Here is a 19,471-nt window from a genome sequence, read left to right as displayed (position 1 = left end):
GAGAAGGAGGCAGGGAGGAGGGCCCTCCCAAGTGGCACCATCGAACCCCCATGGTCTCCTTTCCTATGCACAGAATGGAAGCTGAGGCCACCCACTAGCTTGAACCTAAAGGTATGCAACACTTTTAATCAATGTCAGAGTTGTAGTTCCCCCTTTGTCTTATTGAACACAGAGTGTTGAAGAGAGTCTTGCAGGCAAAGAAACATTTGAGCAGATCTTAATTCAAATGCATTGGACAAAAAGCATTGTTCTGAGATTTTTCTACCCTTTAGGATGCTTTAGATTGCAAGTAACAGAATACCCAACTAAGGGTGGCATAAACAACGAGGGTTTATTATATAGCAACATAAGAAGTCCAAAGATAAAAGGTTTCCAAGGTTAATTTGCCAGCTCATGATATCGCCAAGGACCTAAGTGCCACCCTCAATTCAAAATCTCTCCTCAGGGGACAAAGAATTGCAAAAGATGTCAGTCACTTAACATTTCTAAGCTTTAGTATCCTCATCTATGGGAGGAATGGAGGTAGACTAGATTAACTGTGTAGCAGTAGAGTTTACTTCAAAAGAAAAGAAGAAAGGAAATTCATGTGCAACCCTAAAAGTGGAGCTGCTCTGGTTGTAGCAGGTGCTTAGCCCCAACAGTGGGTCCTGAGGCTCCTTCACCACTGGAAGGCTGCATCTTCCAGCATGCCTCTTCTAGCACTGATAGATTCTAACATTCGTGATTCTAAAGTAGATGATTGTGATACTGATGTTGTTAACAATACTGAAAGACTGTAATGATTTAATGAACAATTTACATTCTCTAAACTACTCATATGGAGCAGACATTGGTCTTCCAAAACTATGATCAATCAAGTGCTTATAATTCAAGAAGGGAGGAAAGAGGAGGGAGGGCGGGAGGGAAAAGGGAGGGAAGAGGAAGGGAAAAAGGGAAGGAAGGAGAGACAGATAACTCTCAGTCATTTAAAAAACTACAATAAAATATTATGAATTATCAATTAGATCAAAGTTCCTCACAGCTATATTTATATAGGTAAAAAAAAATTAAATAGGCTAAATGCCCAAAAATTTAAGACTGGCAAAATATACTTGGCTAAATACTGTGCGTCTCTATTAAATACCATGTTTCAGAAGAATTATTAATGACATGAGAATATGCTCAAAATACATATTGATATGTGCAAATACATATTGCAAAGTAAGATTATAGAATGATCCTAGTTTTCAAAAATGTCACATATATATGTATTTAAAAAAAAAGGCAGTTAAGATTTACAACAAAATGTTAGTGGTGGGACCTTCTGGTAGGAATACAGATTTTTTTTTATTCAGAAGTTTTTGATCTTTGCAAACTTTCTACAGTGAATATATATTGTCTTTATAATAAGGAAAAATGATTGAAATAAATTGAGAGGTATAAAACAAAACTATAACAAACTTTCTTTTGTTTATTACCATCCAACTTAAAGACTGAAAAGTCCAAGAGATTTGGAGGGATGCACCAGTAAGATCCATATTGACCGTAAGAGAATACACAAGGGGAATGGTACGCTGCCCGCACGTACCGCAGCCCCTCACCGTCTCAGCACCACTGAGGAATCGGGCTCCTGCACTTGGAGACCAGCCTCTGTGAAACACAGGTGTAGTGAGTCATGAGATACGCTGACAAACGGGATGTGAATATCATGGAAGCTCCAAAACTCCCAGTAAAGGCAAAAAGAAACCAGTTCCCCTTGACCTGTCTCCACATATCATGGCTCTACGTGTGAGAAGAGTTATCACTCTTTCTTCAAAGATTTCCAGGAGGGAAGGAAGGAAGGAAGGAAAGAAGGAAGGAAGGAAGGAAGGAAGGGAGGGAGGGAGGGAGGGAGGGAAAGAAGGAGGAAGGGAAAGAAGGAGGAAGGGAACAAAAGAAAAGGGAGAAAGGGAAGGAGGGATGGAAAATGTAACCCTCATAATTAAAAAAAAATCAAATTGTTATTAATTGCCAATTAGATCAAAGTTTCTCACAGTTACATTTATATAGGAAAAAAATTTAAGTAGCCTAAATGCCCAACAGCATGAGACTGACAGAGAAAATCTGGGAGACTGCCACCAACTGGGGAACGGGGATACCCCAAGTTTCCATACTACAAAAAGAACCAGAAATCTATGTGATCTGTTCCATTGAGCTGTTATTTCTGGGCCATGTATGAGCCAGCTTTAGTAAACTTAATTCTACCACTTGTCAAAATTTTCAACCTTTGAAAAATTACTCAATACCGGGATTAATATACAATATAATATCCAAGCAGTTAGCCAGCTCTGAACTCATATCATCCCCAAATGACGCTGGATGTGCACAGGAGGGTAGCATGGCTTCCAGGCTGCCACAGCCTTTCATCTGCACAAGGAACATGGGTGTGAGCACGAGGACAAATCTACTTTTGAACATTGTCAGAGTGATAGATAATCTATGCCATATCTGAAAATATGTCTCATGGAGCTCCATGCAATAGATAACTTATTAATTTCTTTTTTTAACTCCCATTCATCATTTCTAGCAAGTCCACAGCCCTTCTCCCAAGACCTTGGCTTTAATTGTGAAGGCAGCTGTTCATGCATTCTGGGGGCCTTCTAGGGCTGAAATTTCTTAGAACTCTGTTCCTACCTCAGATAACAAGTCTTTGTTTGGAGGGAGACTTTATGGAGGAGAGAAATAAGTGGCACAAGAAAAATACCTGCCTCAAAACCAGGTGTGTGGACATGTAAACCAGCAAACTTTAAGAAAAATAAAATGTTGTTGTGACACAGAGCAAAACAATTCAGGGACTCTTCCTTTTGCCAGGACATTTATTTGGGGAGAGAGGAGAGAGAGAGAGGGTGGGAGAGAAGGGAGAGACAGGGAGGGAGAAGGAAAGGGACAAACCTTATTCTGGGGTGGAAAGTGGATTAAGGAAGTACTAGATCCATCAGCATCAATCCTAAAATACAAAGTTTCCTTCACTGTATTCCCAAAGGAAAAGAAGACTCTCAAACTTTATAAGATTCTAGGTTTCTTGAATGTATTAAAAAGTCTGTGGCTCATTTTGAAACCACCACACTTAAGTTTAAATGGTACTAACCTGGGATAAGTTCCCTATTCATTTTTCAAACAATTCTTGTGTTGTTTTGTATTTTTAGATTTCTATTTTGGAATTTTAAAAACACTAATTCTTATTCAAGACCTTTGAATCAACTGGTCTCAGGAAATTGCATTCTTTACCCATGTAGGGAAACAAAATCTTAAATATAAAATATACCTTTAAGTGTGGCATTCAGTTACAATAATTTATCTTCTGCTGTTTTGTGCAATCAGCGATTGCATTAATTTTAACAAATCTCTCATAGCTTTTCAACCACAGACTCTTATTCTCTGAAATAACCATTCTGTAAATAATAAATCTATTGTAAAATATGCAATACTATACATTAAAGATCCACCTTTTCTTTCTCTCCCAATTAATTCTTTCTTTGCCTAATGTAACATATTTGGGGTTTGGGTTAGAACACATCTCCTACCTTAAAGTAAAATGTTACAGATTAAATATTGAGTCACTTGGTAATATGCACAGACTGGGTAAAGGTAGAAAGTCACTAACTTTTTCCTGCACAAAAGAAGTGTGCATTACTATCACTATCCCATGCCTCCCTAAAGCAACAATAGATCCCTTTCCAGAAACATCATTTTCAAAAGGAGCAGGTAAATATTATTACTTGCTATACCAAGGCAACAATAACTGATTAAGGTAAATTTAGTGGAAACATTAAAATAATGGCAAGGGAAGGAACCATATTCTGCAGAAACCCTGTGTGAACTTATTGGAAATAATCAGCCGCTCAGTTTGAATTAAATGAGTGTCAGTGAATGTAGTTGGGGGGCTGGGGGTGGGGGGACGCTGAAAAAGAAAGCCTGGCAGACCCTGGCTGGAATCTGCAAGCTTTCCTCTGCCACGGCTGGTAGGAAAATCTGCAAAGATGCAAACGGTCCTTGGGTGTTCAGTTAGCAGTAAGTAAATTGCTGTGGGAGCTGAGGGCGGGCATACTTTAGCAGGCAATTCCTCTCTGTCTTTCATTCTGTTTGTCTGTGTTAAATTCCCCCTCTGCCCTCATCCATTCTCACATCCAGTTCCCTGCTTTGTCCATCCATCAATCCCCTCACTTTGTCAGTGCTGACTTCATCCCGGCTCTCACAATCACATTGCAGCCATCCCGAGGCCACGAGGGACCCCACACCACCCCCCCAACCGCCCCCACCCGCCCGCTGCCACCTCCCTGCTTCCGGATCCGCGATCTGCTGACGGAGGGCCCAGCCGGCCACGTGTCGTTTTCTATTGCACAGACCAGCAAAAACACTAATACTCAACCTGATTCCTATCGTCCTGCTTTTCACCTTTCCTATCGAGGGGAATGGAAGAGAGAAAGACGCACGGAGGGAGAAACAAGGGGGGCGGGGAGGGATGAGGTAGGGATAATGGAGTGAGATGTTTGCTGAATTTTCTAAAACAATTTGCACACCAGTCAGGTGGAGGCTCAATCCAGCTTCCCATACCACACATCAATAGAAATCACAGGGAGAAAATGTAGCACTAATTAAGGGTTGATAAGCTGTAGTCAAGTGCAGTTTATGGGACAAAGCGGGAGACTACCAGGCCTGTGCAAGCTGAACTCCGTAGGGCAATTTCATCGCCAGCTAAGGATGGAAATTTTTCAAGTTATATATATATGTATACATATATAACATATATACGTGTGTGTGTGTGTGTGTGTGTTTTACCTTCAAAATCAAACAGATAGGCTGGGAGAAACATACTACATGATCATTTTTATTCAAAAGATCATTTGCAAAACATTTCACGGGGTGGGGGAAAGCTTATTAAAGAGCAAAAAATAGTTACCTAGCAACAAAACTATTTTAAAACAATCTTCAGTGTTCTGCCTGAGTATGTGCTTGTAATTCAAAGGTGTATAATTTGAGCACCCACCAAACTCATAAAATATTTCTTTTCTGAATTTTAAACTTCTCTTTTCTTACCCCCTATTCACAATAAGCTATGATTAGGATGATAAAAACTTTCAATGCTATACATTTCTTTAAATTTTACTCTTGGAGTGGAAAAAAATGTTTTTAAAATATGAGCAATAAAATTAGTAAAACTATTTACACAACTATGATTAAAATGACTATGCTTTAAAGGAGCTCAGTGGGGTACGTTCTTCTACACAATGTTCCAAAAAAACAGGGAATTGTAACTAGTGATAATTATACCTAGCATTTGGGAGGTACCTGCAAAGCATTTTCATGTATGTGACTTGATCCTTGAACAGTTCTCTAGGGATTAGTACCTGCTTTTTTGCAACTAAGAAAGCTGAGGCCCAGCAATTCAGGAACTTGCCCCCAAACCACACCACTGCTAAGTAAAGGCATCAGGATTTAAAAGTAGCCATTAGGATTCCAACTCCTTGTCCAACAGATGGGCACATCCCATCACCTCTCCCAAAAGCTTCTTTCTAATTTAAGAAAGAAGCCTGAAAGATCCACTGGGAATCAGTCTCTTGATCCAAAGGACGACCACCAAACTTTGAGATTGATGTTTTAATACATCATTCCAAATTCTTATTTTGGGAGACTATTCACTTTTTTATTGAATAAAACACTGTGAGACCGCTTCCACAAACAAACCAAGAGAACTTTCCAGAAGGCTTTGAGAAATGATAGTGGAACAAATATGTTGCCTTTCAAGGCAATGACTTTGAAGGACTAAGCATTCACTCAGATGTTTAAGTTTTGGTGTCTCTGTTCAGAAATCAATCACAGCGTCCCATTGCCACACCTTGCATCACTGCAAATTTGAGAGGCAAACTGCAAATGACTAAGCCAGGCAGATTCACCCACAGGATAAAAAGAAAAGAGGAGAATTGGGAGCATGCAAGACCTCCCTGCGTTTCAGTCTTCACACCACTCCTTGGCCACACATTTAACCCAGAACCTGCAGCCACAGCTCACTTTTCGTTCCTTTTGTTTCTCGAACCCACATGCCCAGATGGGCTCTGGTTATGACAGAAGAGACCAGGGGAAGCGGGGGGAAAAAGGCAGCAGCAAAAAGTCTCCTCTGCCGTGCTCCTATACACATCAGACATCTCTAATTAGACAGCAACAAAATTTTATTAATAGGATGGACATTATAGAATGAGCTTGTTATAAATGGGCCCTGTCAGGGCCTTATTCAGCTACCAAATGAGTATTCTCAGTTCAGTGCTCTCATCTGAAGCATCACGCCTAGTACTGGATAACAAATGATTGCTATTAACCGTATTGTTAGTAATGATGGCTGAAAACAAACAAAAACCCATAAATAACAGTCTACAGAAAAATTAACCCATAAACTTGATAGATATCCAGCTGAGAAATAATAAATGACACTTTGGGGCCTGCTGGGAGAAGCTAGTGGTTTTTGTTTTCCTCTCTGTCATTAACACATTTTCTGTGCTAAAAATTAGATTCTGATATATAATTATCAACGCTCCCAGATATTAATTCTGCTATTGCTCCCTCGGTTTCTCTTCTGGCTGGGCTATAATGTTATTCACAGATTACTCTGAGAAAACACATCAAACACTTAACAGAAGAGGTCAAAGTGACAAGCAGCTTCTGCTGACAACACCAACCTGCACCGTCTTTTTTACCAGGGATACAAAACAAATTTCTCATATTAATTAACTAGGGTTCCCTTCCAGCCACAACAGGCCTGTACAATGTGATATGAGCTAAGCAAATTCCCTACTTCTCTAATGAAGGCTGCCAAGGGAGGTGAGGAGCAGCAAAATTATCTTGCATCTATAGCACTCAAATCCATATTCCTTAATGCCTTTCAGGGAGGAGACAGGGTTCAAAAGAACTTTCCAACTGCAGAGCATCTCTTACCTTGAGCCCCTTCCTCTTAAAGGGCCGAGTGGAAGGGGAAGGACATACACACACAACTAAGCATGTGAGCAAGAGACCTTCTCCAAAAGGAGCTGGAATTTCAGCCACAGAACCTGCATTAGCACTGCCACTGAGAAGGACCTTGGCTTCCCAAATATCATGACTTCTGCACGATTAATTGACCTTGACTGGAATATGATCTCACCTGCCAATGGCTTATATTTGTCAGAAACCACCAAGAGATATGAAATGCACAAGGCTCCTCAATGGATGGACTCATGTCCTATAAGCAGAGGAAGACACACACACACACACATGCACATACACAGACACACACACACACACGTACACACAGACACACACACATGCACACACACAGGCACACATACGCATGCACGCACACACAGACACACACACTTATGCATGCACATGCACACATCATACCCTCATGCAAAAATGTAAAGTCCTCATCACCAGTGTTAGCATCATCATTGCAATCTACTCTATAAATTTATTTTCCTGTTGTCTCTTTAAAAATTTAATTTCACAGAAAATAACTGGGGAAAACCTTTTTTTAATAAAAAAAATTAAGGTGCTTAGTTTTGAAAACATTTAACATAGAATTGTTATGTTCAGTTAAAAGTAAGATCATGAAATTTGAGACAAAAGATGAAGATGAGAGTGGGGCGAGGGAATCCATGCAAATGACAATGCAAATAAGTGAAGAAATAAGCAGGTATGGAATCCATTTCCCAAGCCTGTCCTTCTGCCAGGAAAAAAGAGGCAGCAACTTCCTATTCCTATGCAAATGCCTTCAAACACAAGTTCTTTTACCAGTTAGGAAAAACAAAAGCAAAAGCACGAAAATTCTTCAAAATGAGGCCATATGGTCAAGCCTCGCAAACACAGAGCAGGTGAAAATAAAGAATGCTGAGAGCTGCTGCTATGGGAAAAGCAGACAAAACTGGGTGGGGTGTTTTGACCACTAATTTAGAAACCCTTGCTCGTTCCAAAGTTGCAGGATGTTCCTTTTTTCCTTTCAAGCTCCATCAAGGCCCTGGGTGACTGATCATCTAAATAACATTTTTGAGGTGGGATTTTTTTTTAATTGAGCCAATGATCTCCTATCTCCTGTGCCTTGTTGTTAACCCCATGCCTCATCCCAGGGATCACATCGCTTTGATGACGAGAGCCTAAACTGCAAATCCCACACCTCCCATGCACTCCATTTTCTCAGTATCTGGCATTGCGGTATTAAATAACTATAAAACTAGAAAGCCAAAATAACTAAATCACCTGGCAGCCAATTTCTGAGAGTTAAACCACAAACCCGGAAAATGGTGGAGTGTGTTGAAATAATGTAAAGGAAACCCATAAATTCAAACTTTATGTTCTGTAAAGAACAAATATGAAAAAGGCATCAAAATAATGAAAGATTGTTTATGTATTCTGGCATGAAATGGGAATGTGTTATGAGAGAGAGAGCAGTGGCGGAGACAGATCGACGAAGCTGACAGTGTGGTATTCATCCTGCGTGGTGGAGCAGACGCCCTGCTAGTGGCAGCAGACAGCGCAATAAATCAAGGGCTCTCGAAGCTGTACCTACAGCTTATTACATCCAAGATGACAAATAAATAATAATCCCTGTCAGAGCGGCCCTTTGCTCAAGGATTGAGCCTGAAACCTTTGGCTCATCACTCCTCATCTTAAGTGAAAACACTAGAACTAGGGAATTGGAGGCCACGGTTTGCTAAGCTCATGAAACACAAAACAAGCAGGACCCAGGAACTAGGACTGAACAAGAAAGGTCAAGAAGTAAGGAAGGATAAACATTTAAATAATCCTGACCGAGAGGCAGCAAAGTGGCCGAATGAATGTGGGTTAATATGTCCTAATCATCAGGGTGAGGCAAAAAAGCCCCAGTCCCCGTCCCCACCTCTAACAGGGAAAAATACCAGACTGAGGTTTAAACACAGTACTGGCAGGAAAGGGGCAGGGCCATAGAGACACAAGGACCCAAACAACACGGCCACCAGCCTCCAAACCTCTTACAGCCCTGTCCGCCTTCCCATTTTATTTAAGACCCAAGTCAGTGGTAGAAAACCATCCTCCCCATGTGGGAATTCCAGCTCTCTCGCAGCCTCAAAGGGGAGAAGACACTGCAGACCAGGCCCAGGCAAGATGAAGGCTGAGTCATAAAGCCCTCCCTGGGTCTCCCTGCTCAGCATCCTCGGTCACCGGCTTTCATCTGCATTTTCTAACTGGCTCTTCCCTGTGGGGAGGATGGGGACCCTTGCTTCTAAATCTGCCTGGCATCCATGGGTGTTATGACCTTGGATCGGTCCCTTAACCTTGAGCATCACCCTTTTCATTGCTCCTTGCTGGTCAGGCGGAGGGTTTCTGCAAGGGCCCTGGATGGTTCTTTCAGAGCAGCCTTCAGTTTCTGTGGGCCCCACACTTACAGTGGTTCCCAAATTGGCTTTCCAAAAGCAAGGCCATTCTCTTTTCTCCCCATCTGACACATCTTAGTTCCTCCACTGCCTCTTGGAAAACACAGAGGGAGATAGTAAAATCTGATAGGGCCAAAGCGGTCTGGATGCCAGCTCCTCCAGAGGTATACACACACAAACACACCATCCTAACATGCCCTAAACATCCTACCTACTGCCTTTCAGCCAGCCTACTGCAAATCTCCAACGCCCCAAGGCACTAAAGCAAAACTATGTATTGTGACTTGAGAGAATTGCATAAAGAGGGGTATGCAGAAGGGAACAACAATCACTACAAAAGCTTAAGTTCCAGTGGTCAGAATAAGAGTTTCTAATATTACAAAGGGGAAATGGCCACCATCTAATGCTTATCCAAGAGTATACTGAGGTCCCCACCACCACTTCATCTATCTACATGTCTTTAGACAAAGGGTGCATGGCAGGGTGGACCTGACTTCGAATTCTGACTCCGTAAAAGCTGGATGGCCTCAGGTATAAACTCACTGAGTTTCAGTTTCCTCATCTGAAAAAAAAAAAAAAAAAAAGTGGTACCAATAATTCTCAACGTATAGGATTGTCTCGTGATTTAAATGAGGTTGCATGGTTGATGATCCCTAACATACTCTGCAAGCTCAGCAGATGCCAATCCTCATTCTGTTCATTGCTCACCACATCCAGTTTGCTTTTTCCTGAATTCTATTACCTACTAAAGCAGAATTTTAAGTGAATAGTATCATCCACATGACTTTTGATCCTCATAAGGCCTCAAATGTCCAAAATTCTCTATAGGAATACAAGCTTCTTATGAAAATCATTTGACCCTGGAGTAACTACACAGCCCAAAACTTTGGAGAAACTTATCTAAGACTTTTAAAATCTTGTGAACTATACAAGTAATGCAAAACAATGGTGTCTCATCAGCCCAATATTTCTATACCTGGGATTATATTCCTAAGGAAATAATACAAAATGTGGAAAACGTATATGCAATACATGAAGACATACATTATACTGCTAAAATGGCAAAAAAAAAATATGTGAGAAAACTATATAGTCCATAGTGGGGTTTTAAAATATGTTTAAAATTATTTTTAAAAAGAATGGAATCCTTGTTTGATAGAATAGTATGCAGTCTTCAAAAATGATAATAAAGACAGTGAAGCAACATGGCAAAAAGTGTATGATCTCCTGTCAGGTGAAAAAGGACACGAAATTGACACTTGGCTGTCATTTTACCTATACAGCGTTATGCCTCCAGAAAAAGGAATAGACACAAATAATAAAAGTTGTGATAATGCGGCAAGATTAAAGACCACTGTTGTTATTCTTTCATTTCTCTCTCAAACTTTCTGTGGTTATGTTTCACAGAGCTTTTGTAATTTAAAAAATGATTTTTAAAAATGCAAAAGTAAAGAAGCTAAATGAATTAAAAAATAGAAAACTGGGAGCAAAACCTATAGCCACCAGGGTTTCCCAGGCTCCCACTGCTTCTTGGCTTTCAAGACAGCACTGCAGGGACGCTTTGTGGGATGAGGGGAAAGGATGGAATAAGAGCCATTTTGAAATGTTGCTCTCCTGCACTCCCCATCCTCCTTTTCCAGTTATTCTCCCACACATCACCACCTACTCATCATCATCGCTCACGCACGGCTCTAGCCTTGACTCTGCCATCATTCGGCCCCTCCTCCAAAATTTCCAGGTAACTCTCCCACTTCTAATGAGAAAACTCCAGTTTCTCCTTTCTCCAGTCTGAGGGTTCAGAGCCTCTCCTGTCCACTTTATAAGGTCCTGCCTGCTTCCACCCATTTAATGTTCCAAAGACCCATTTCAAAAGTGAGCCATTGAGGACAGCTGGAGATGAGATTTTTAAATTGGAGAAAGGCTTTTCCTGTAATTACCCTAAGCTCTGAGCCCTTTCCTCACCCAACTGCCCAGAGTTAGACTTCCCATCCTCGGGTCTCCCTCCCCTCTTATTCTCTGAATTTAGTGGGGGAAACCCTCAAAATTAGTAACTCAACTTTCTTCATAAACATCTCAGCTCAACACCATTGCTGATACTTTGAAGACTGGGGTTTTGTTACCAGAAGACATCTGGGGGCCTTGAGCTTTTATGAAAGCAAGGAAAAGAGAAAATAACACACTGTGTCTCGTTCCACGCTAAATGCTTCAATATATACTTTAACTCTTTAGCAATAACAACAACAAATTCATAAGCCAATCACACTTTCCCCATCCCACTCCCAGCCCCCAATAGTTCACCTTCCATCATCTAGGTAAAGACATTCTCTTTAAGACTCATATTCACACTGTTTAGTTACAGAAACCCTCTACTTGTGGCAGTTTGAATTTAAGGTCTTAATTTATTCTCTGTGTATTACCCTTTCCCTCTCCTCTCTCACTGTTCCCTTAGAGGCAATCTAACCCAATAAACCAGTTCAGTTTACAGATGGGAAAACAGAAGTGCAGAAAGGTAAGAAACTTGCCCATGACACAATTCACGGCAGGGCTGAGACCTGGACCCACCTGGCTCGGGCTACTGGTCTTTCCACTGCACCAGGCTGGCTCCAGCTACTGGTTTCCATGCAGTAGAAAAGAAAAGGTAACACCTTCCCAATACCTCATAGAAAAGTGTGAAAGATGATTCCATATGGCCAACATGAGACCAAGACTCTATCACTAACTCTGAAAAAGAACTAGCTTCCTAAACTGAGGGTCACCTCACGGCCAACAAAGGTCACCAGGAACTTTTTTGAGGAGTGGGGAGGTGGATAATGGTCCTGCACCATGACAAATTCTTAAAGCATGCCATTTCCAAGATTAACTTTTAAAACTCATCATTTGAGGTATGTTTGGGTTCACTGGCTTAAAATGGATTAACAAAAGGTATGAGTACAAAATAATAATGCAATCATTTAATACAATAATATGATCACTACATAAAGGACTTTTAAAAAATATAAACATGACAATTCTGCTAATACATATGATGTACATTTGCAACAATACAAGAAAGCTGAAAGGTGGTTATTGTTGAACTGAAAAAGTCCCAGAATCCCACTAAGAAAATGATGTGAGACAATAATGCATATTTCAGGTATACACTATAACTGACTTAAATTATTATGGATGTACTTCATACTTAATTACCTTTCTAAAATATGTCAGAGTATTTTGTCATAAACTCTGCAGAGTCTGCTGTACCTCTACTAAATACTGCTCTGAAATGCAAACCCTTTGCTAATGTTTTTATTTGAATAACTTATTACCCAATATAGCAAGCGTCGGCACATTTTATAGAACCAGAACTTGGCTCTCTGAAATTCCTCCTACCCTAATGCCAGTCACTGTTGGGAGCATTTAGTTATAAATTGTCTTTCAATAAAAGTAAAAGCTCCCAAAACAACAAAATGAAAAGACACAGCAGCTTAAATCAAGGGAAGTCAATTTCCACATGCCGATCCTAAATATTTCATGGCCCTATTTTATTCTGACATTTGTAGATGACTAAAGTGTTACAAAGGAAATAAAATGCTGATTAAAGAGTTCGCTGTCATAAAGGTTACTGAATTGTAAATGGCCCTTTCCATCTTCCTGTTAATAGGTACCCAGCTGTAAACATCATGAAGGATGTGACAGGAGGGCGGCTTCCCTCCTTTAGGAGCTGTATATACATTAATCACTGAATCACCAAGCCATGCTTAATTGCAAGCTGTATATCACACAAATCCATGCTAAGTAGAAGGAAACTCATTATTGCTGCTTCATAACTACTGGGTACTTCTCATTTTAACCTCCTCACACCTGGGACACTTTGTTGCTTTACAACAGGAATGCAGGAAAGGTATTACACCACTAATTACAGCCCACACTGGCACCTCTATCTGCTGCCTGGAAGAGAAAACGGAACTCTCTCAGATCGGCAGATCTGCAGTTATCCCTGGTTTCTGCCTCATTGCTGCTAAGTGAGTTTTTATATGACGCTTGCGTCCCCCAATCCCACCCCTTCTCCCTTCTTCCCTTCCTGGGAAAAGCGTGTTGAAATCCATTACTCGTTGAGAGTTTACAGAACTGTTTAAATGATAAAGAAAAAAAAACTGCAGTATATTTTGCTTTGACAAAATTATTGATTTAAATCCCATACAATAACACAATACTATTTAAAGGTCAACCCAAGAAAAATGAGTTTACATCCAAACAGAGCCGAGCTTATCTGTCATGAAAGTGTAATGATGTGTTTATTCCCTCACTAGGGTGTATATATTTTTCAGGAAGATATAACAGTCTACTTGCAGGTGAAATCTGCTCTTAAATGGGAATTTCAGGAGATATTTACATTTCAGATGTTGGGGCTGATATCTGTAGTCCTGAGACCCATTTCTGTGCTTACTAGTCAGTTGAGTATTTATTTTCATCACCTCAAAATTATTATTCTCACTCCCAGGTCAAAAATGAGACACACACATGAAAACTATACCACAACTCATAAGGAATCACTTAAGAAGCCTAAGGCTGCAAACCAAATGCGAAGGTTGCCACTGTAATTGCCTATAACTCTTACATCTTTTATTTGTTTTTACATTTCAAAAATATGGCAATAAAAATAATCTATTTGTTATTTCTAGAAATATGTCATCAATGAATCTGAATATTTGTGGGGTTTTTTTCCCTTTCCAAAGGCCAACTGATGTATGATCTATCCCATGAACACCACCATCCTTCCACAGTTGGCCTCGGTACTCAGACCTGGGCTTCACTGAATAGGGTAAAGGGGATGACAGAGTGAAGAAAGGAGACCCAATACCCGCATCTAGGTCTTTAGTGGGCCCCTAAAGTCTTGGTCCACAGCCTCTCTGATGAACTCACTTCAATCAACGTGTATTAGGTGCCAGCTACTATGCTAAGTTGTAGGGGTACAAATCACACAGTACCTTCTCTCTTGAAAAGCTTCATCTATCCAGTTGGCAAATATTGACTGAGCACTTATCATGTGCCCAGGTAATGTGCAGTGACCTCTGAGAGATGATGGTCTGCAGGGCCAACAGAAACTGAATATATAATTACAAGTTAAATGACTGTGACGAGAGTAGACATTCAAGATGCTCTGGGAGCACATCGCAAGGAAAGCCAAACTAGTCAACAGGGTGCAGGGAGTGCCTTCTGGAAGAAGTCACGTTTAAACTGAGACTTGAAAAATGCAAAGGTGTTAGCTAGGTGAAGATTGAGGATGTGGGAGGTGCAAACAGTGGGAATGGCATGTGCAAGGGCCCAGCGGTAAGAGCCTTCTGCAGAGAAAAATCAGAGAAACATGCGGCCGAAGCATTAGGAGGGAGGAGAAAGATAAAATACTGCAAATAATGGGAAGCGATTAGAATCTAAGGGAGATTGTTGGGAGGTTGTAGCCTGGGAGTGACATGACAGTATAGAAAATGGATCAGAAACAAAGGTTATTGAGGGAATTCCCCTCCTAGGAGGCTATTAGAGTGGCCAGAGCAATGAAACAGAACCCACTACTCCATCATTACCACTGCACAAGAAGATTTCCAGAAACTGCCCTTTGTTCTTGTGTTTTAAAGACTGAGCTGACTCAGCTCATGATTCAGCTAGTGGGGGTCTGCTCCCCTGTTTACAGGTGCTGTTTGACTAAAGATTATCACTGCTCAGAAACTCTTATTACCTCCCTTCAGCACCCACCGACCCACTGGCTATTTTCCTGTCATTATTTGATCTGTCAAAAGATGAGTGCATTATTAGATCTATCAAAAAGAGAGAGAGCTTCCAAATCCAGGTAGCTTATTGCTAACACTTGGAGTGAAAGCTGCTTGTGTGTCTTGGATCAGAAAGGAGACTGAAGCTATTGGCTAAAATCAGGCTGGAGGGTTGTTGAAATTTAATTTATCTGAACATCTATCTCCCTGTTCCCCAGGATCATAGGTGTGGGCATCTTGATTGTCCAAAACCAGTTAGTGTATGAATTTTATTTCTATTCCAATACTCCCTGTAGGGAAGAGGAGTTGTTGCTCACAAATATTCTATTGTGGTATGGTTGGCAGATTCTCACAGCCTCTCGCGTTCAGGCAAAAGCCTAAAGCTGCCTGCCACAAGAAAGCTGAGCACAGTCCTACAGCACAGCCCACCACAAAGGCCTTGGACTCCCCTTCCCAATGCCACCTGCTACCTGACATCCAAGGCCAGCACAGTCACACTCAATGCAGGAGTTCTCTATCGCACTTTCTGCTCCCCATCCCACTCCAATGCCGAGGAGATGAGTTAGTCCAACAAGTTTGCCATTAAGTCTCACTTGGTACTCTTCAGTAAATTGTGAAACAGATGATTTGCATAGTTCTTCATTTAATGACTGCAAAGTGGAATGATCACATGCTTTGGAATCGAACACACCTGGGCCGACAGCTAAGCCCTACTATCAGCCATGCTTCCCTGGGCCTACTGCTTAACCTAGGACCCTGTTTTTTTCATTATCCATCCATCCATCCATTCACCCACCCACCCATCCATCCATCCAACAAATACATATTGGATGCCTTCCATGTTCCAGGAGTTTTCACATTTACCTCTCATCTTGGTAATAATCTCTTAGAGAAAGCTCTCCAAACTTGCTCGCTCATGTACCCCAACATGATGTTATTTATAAATTATCTACACCATTGTACCAATGTATACATAAAATATACACAACATACACATTTTAAGAATGAGAAAGGAAGGCTAAGGCAGGAAAATGGCGTGAACCCAGGAGGTGGAGCTTGCAGTGAGCCAAGATCGCGCCACTGCACTCCAGCCTAGGCGACAGAGCGAGACTCCATCTCAAAAAAAAAAAAAAAAGAATGAGAAAGGAAATAAAGATTTTATAGGCAATTATATTTATTAATGATGCTAAAATTCTTTGCACTCACCAAATAATATATATACTGCTTTATATTTTTTTCATTAGACAGATGTCATATAATGATGCTTCATTATTTTTTAAAATATTGGTTTAATATTTGGTAAAAAAAAAAAAAAACTCACACAAAGGTTTAATTCTAATTTCAGTTTAAAACTTGACTTTAATAAATGAATCATAGCTCAAAAGTCACTTAGGTATATGTATTTGTTTCATATGGCTGCTGAAACAAATTATCCCAAACTTGATGGCATTTTTAAAAACCAGAAATTTATTCTCTGATTCAGTTCTGAAGGCCAGAGCCTGAAATTAGTAACATGGGGCTGAAATCAAGGTGACAGCAGGGCCACACTCCCTCCAGAGGTTCTAGGAGAGAACCCATTCCTTCTTCTTCCAGCATCTAGTGGTTGCCAGCATCTCTTGGCTTGTGGTAGACTCACTCCAATTTCTGCCTCCATGGTCACAAATGCCTTTTCCTCTTCTGTCTGTACCAAATTTCCCTCTGCCTCACCATTAGGAGGACCCTGGGATTGTATCTGGGTCCCACCAGAATAATCCAAGATAATCCCCCATCTCAAAATCTTTAACCTAATCACATCTGCAAAGACCCTTTTTCCATATAAGGTAACATTCACAGGCTCCAGGGATTGCGACAACATGCCTTTGGGGGTCCATAATTCAGTACCACAGTACGTATGGAAGAAACCAATCAGTAGATGAGTGTATTAAATCATGATACTCTTTTTCAGCCTCATTAACCAGTCACACTCAGATTATTGTTTAAATTCAATGGGTAAGTTTCCACATTCCTTGATGTCAATTAACCAAAATGTATGGCAATTTTATATTTTTAACAAATAAATTCAAAGCCCACTAAAACTCTTCTTTGGGCAGACTTTTTTAATGGCTAGAAAATTCATTTTCCAAATTTAAAGTAAGCAGAGATAAGTGTTTTTATAGATAACACACCTAGATAGTTTTCAGCATTGAGCTCACATGATGATGAAAACCTTTCCAAACATCTGTTTTCAAAATGTTCTCTCCATAGCAGGATTTTCCGTCAGAAGGCATTATTTTCAAATGTATTTTTGGCCAAACATATCTGTGAGGACTTCTAGTACTGTTAGGCATTAGGGATGAACAAATTCAGAAAGTTTGATTTTTTTTTTTTTTTTTGAGACCAAGTCTCACTCTGTCGCCTAGGCTGGAGTACAATGGTGTGATATTGGCTCATTGCAACCTCTGCCTCTCAGGTTCAAGTGATTCTCCTACCTCCACCTCCCGAGTAGCTGGGACTACAGGCACCCACCACCACACCTGACTATTTTTTGTATTTTTAGTAGAGATGGAGTTTCACTATGTTGGCCAAGCTGGTCTCGAGCTCCTGACCTCAGGTGATCCACCCGCCTCAGCCTCCCAAAGTGCTGGGATTATAGGCATGAGCCACCATGCCCAGCCCAGAAAGTTTGAATTTTTGTAAAAGAAAAACTGAGAACTCATATTTGTAACAACAACAAAAACGCAAATTCTTTCTCATGACATAATTGAGGAACCTCTGTAGAAAGATTTTTCTATTCAATCCCCAACTCATAACCATTATAAAGGTTCTGCTTTTTGAGGGTTTTTAAAAAATAAAATTAAACCTATTACTGACATCTTATAGCCAGAAACTGTAATAAAATTTACAAAATGCTGAAGACAAAAAAAAAAAAAGAGGTGAAGGTGTCACTACGGACCACTGTTGAAGACAAAAAAAAAGAGGTGAAGGTGTCACTATGGACCACTGTTCAGAGTTCCCAGGTGGCCTCTGGAACCACCCCTGCCCATGTGCCACCTGTTTATGTGCTAGACACCTGCACCAAGTGAGGGCACCAGTTCAGTCTGACTATTAAATACTGTTTCAGCTTATTCCCTGCTCATCTGTAGATTATAAAAATTAACACTGTCTTTCAGCACAGCTGTGGTTCTAATGAGATATTCCCTGGGTACAAGTTCCTCACTGTAAGGACTATGGCCTCTGAGGTAAGGGCCAGTGTTCTTACTTTGCTGGTGGGGAAAATGAAGCCGAGAGATGCTAAGGGAGTTGCCTAAAGTAGCACAGAGAGTAGGGGTCGGAGCTGGGGTTGGAATCCAAATCTGATTCCATGTCTAGATCACACTGCACTACTCTGTATCTCCTCCCTCACTAATGGGGTGGGAACAGGGAGGAAGGAAGCCCCGTGGAAGGGTTCACCTGCCAGCTCTGAGGCCAGACTGCCTGGATTTGAACCTTGGTTCCATCATTTCCCAGCTATGTGACTTTATACAAATTATATTCCATAACTTAGTTTTCCCATTTTCAAAAGGGGGATAATAAGAGTATCTACTCCAGAGGGCGACTGTAAGGATGAAGTGTATTAATTTAAATAAAGCACTTAGGATGGCAACCAACATGTGAGCAAAAGCAAGCACTCAGGTGTTAGCCATGCAATGATACCTACTTCAAAAGCCAGTTCTAGAGCGCGAATGAGACACACACACACACGCACACACACACACACACTCTTACATGCACATAATACAGAGAGAGAGAACGAGTTGCCCACGTGTTTCTAGCATATAATTTAATGAAGTTAGCTTTTCTTAAGCTTTTGTTTTTTAATTTCTAATGGATCATGAGTATCCATTAGAGCTGATAAGTCATAGAGCTGATAAGGTCCTTAAAATGGGTAATAAAATCTCTTTCTGATGCCACAAAGGCATACTGCCCTCCACCTGGTCTCCCATAGACATTAGTGACTTAAGAATCAAATGCCAAAATCCTGGGTTATAACACATGCCCTGCTGAAAAATACTTATGTCCGTAATTCTGACCTCAAGAAAAAAAAAAAAAAGAATGCTCCTCTAACAGGAAGGTCTACCCTGGTCTAAAGTGAACATCATTTGGAAAGTACAACCCCTTAGCTGCTAACAACAAGTATTATAAGGTTTTCTGTCTCTGTCTAAAAACCTGGAGCCTATTCACTCTCCCCTAATGTCTGAAGGAGAAACTTGAACTACTTTAAAAAAAAAAAAAGGTAAAATAAACCAGTAGAAATGTCAACCAACAGTGTCTTCTAACTCTACTGAAACAGACAAATTAGAAAGTCAAATCATT

The 19,471-nt window shown here is 40.6% G+C and overlaps 1 protein-coding gene and 1 long non-coding RNA gene across 3 annotated transcripts in view; both read right to left on the bottom strand.

The window, feature by feature from the left end:
• Nucleotides 1–4,257, bottom strand: part of LOC105378367 (uncharacterized) — a 31,394-nt gene extending 27,137 nt beyond the window's left edge. The window contains exon 1 of the long non-coding RNA NR_132791.1: nucleotides 4,144–4,257. This is a non-coding gene — a long non-coding RNA (uncharacterized LOC105378367). The remainder of the gene's footprint in view (nucleotides 1–4,143) is intronic.
• LRMDA (leucine rich melanocyte differentiation associated) overlaps nucleotides 1–19,471 on the bottom strand; it is a 1,128,545-nt gene that overhangs the window by 843,457 nt on the left and 265,617 nt on the right. The gene's annotated exons all lie outside the window — the stretch shown is intronic.

This window comes from Homo sapiens, chromosome 10 (assembly GCF_000001405.40).
Source record: "Homo sapiens chromosome 10, GRCh38.p14 Primary Assembly".
Lineage (NCBI taxonomy): Eukaryota > Metazoa > Chordata > Mammalia > Primates > Hominidae > Homo > Homo sapiens.
This window is presented reverse-complemented; position numbering and strand designations above follow the sequence as displayed.